This window comes from Homo sapiens, chromosome 15 (genome assembly GCF_000001405.40).
Source record: "Homo sapiens chromosome 15, GRCh38.p14 Primary Assembly".
NCBI lineage: Eukaryota > Metazoa > Chordata > Mammalia > Primates > Hominidae > Homo > Homo sapiens.
This window is the reverse complement of record NC_000015.10, coordinates 85,924,922-85,925,791: the sequence shown is the minus strand read 5'-3', so window position 1 is coordinate 85,925,791 and position 870 is coordinate 85,924,922. Positions and strand designations below refer to the sequence as shown.

The 870-nt window shown below is 43.8% G+C and overlaps 1 annotated feature.

The window, feature by feature from the left end:
* Positions 320-614: a silencer, noted in NCBI's record as "tiled region #8767; K562 Repressive non-DNase unmatched - State 24:Quies". NCBI's record gives its function as "represses a minimal TATA promoter and a strong SV40 promoter by Sharpr-MPRA in K562 cells {active_cell/tissue: K562}" and the evidence as "EXISTENCE:reporter gene assay evidence [ECO:0000049][PMID:27701403]".

The window sequence follows — 870 nt, the reverse complement described above, 5'->3', positions numbered from 1 at the left end:
GCAGGGCTGTGCCCTTTCTACCTGCCACCAGGTCCCGCAAAACAAGGCAAAGCACTTGGTATTGCTAAAATATCCATCATTTTCCAAATACGGCGCTAAATGGTGTGTCTGGACCATAAATACTGCACAGGCACTGGGCAAATAGGTGTATTTTTGTCACCATTTCATTTCTTATACATCATTACCTATGCAGACCATTTGGAGCCAAATGTTTGAGAAATAGGAGTGCAGCCCAAAGCAGTTGCCCCTCTTGCATTGTCTATTTTTTGGAAGATTTGCCAAGGTGACAGTGGAAAGATGGGGGCACATATTTATCATCCTCAGATCTGCTCATACATCAGTCCAGCCTGCCTGATCAACCTTTGCCCAATTTGGAACTTTATGGGCTTTATTTGAGCCTCACTGTGGCCGTTGGGCATCTCGCTATGAATCAGGGATCTAAAGCTTCATGACAGGAAATGCAATCACTCCCTTAGATAGCCAGCTCTGCCTGGAGATTGCATTGTAAAACTCCTCCAATGCTGCTGGGCTAGAAGGCCCAACACTGGAGAAATTGTGCCTGTCTTTCTTTATGTAAAGAGAATGCTGGCTGTTGCAAGCTCCATCACCAAGCTGCCAGTGTAATCTGGCTGCAATCAGGAGAGGTTTCAGAGGCATAGCCTAGTTTAAGGAAGAGCATCTAGGGAGAAGTTAATTTGTCAAGTAACTCAAGTTAAGGTTGAAATTCCAGGTTTGGTTTCTTTACATCCTAATAGAGGGAATTTCTGCTTCTGGTAAATGTGGATCATGACATAGCATACTGAACATCCTGCTGGAAACAACTAGAGTAACTGAACAAAAGATGTGTATAAGATCTGTTTGAAGGCATCA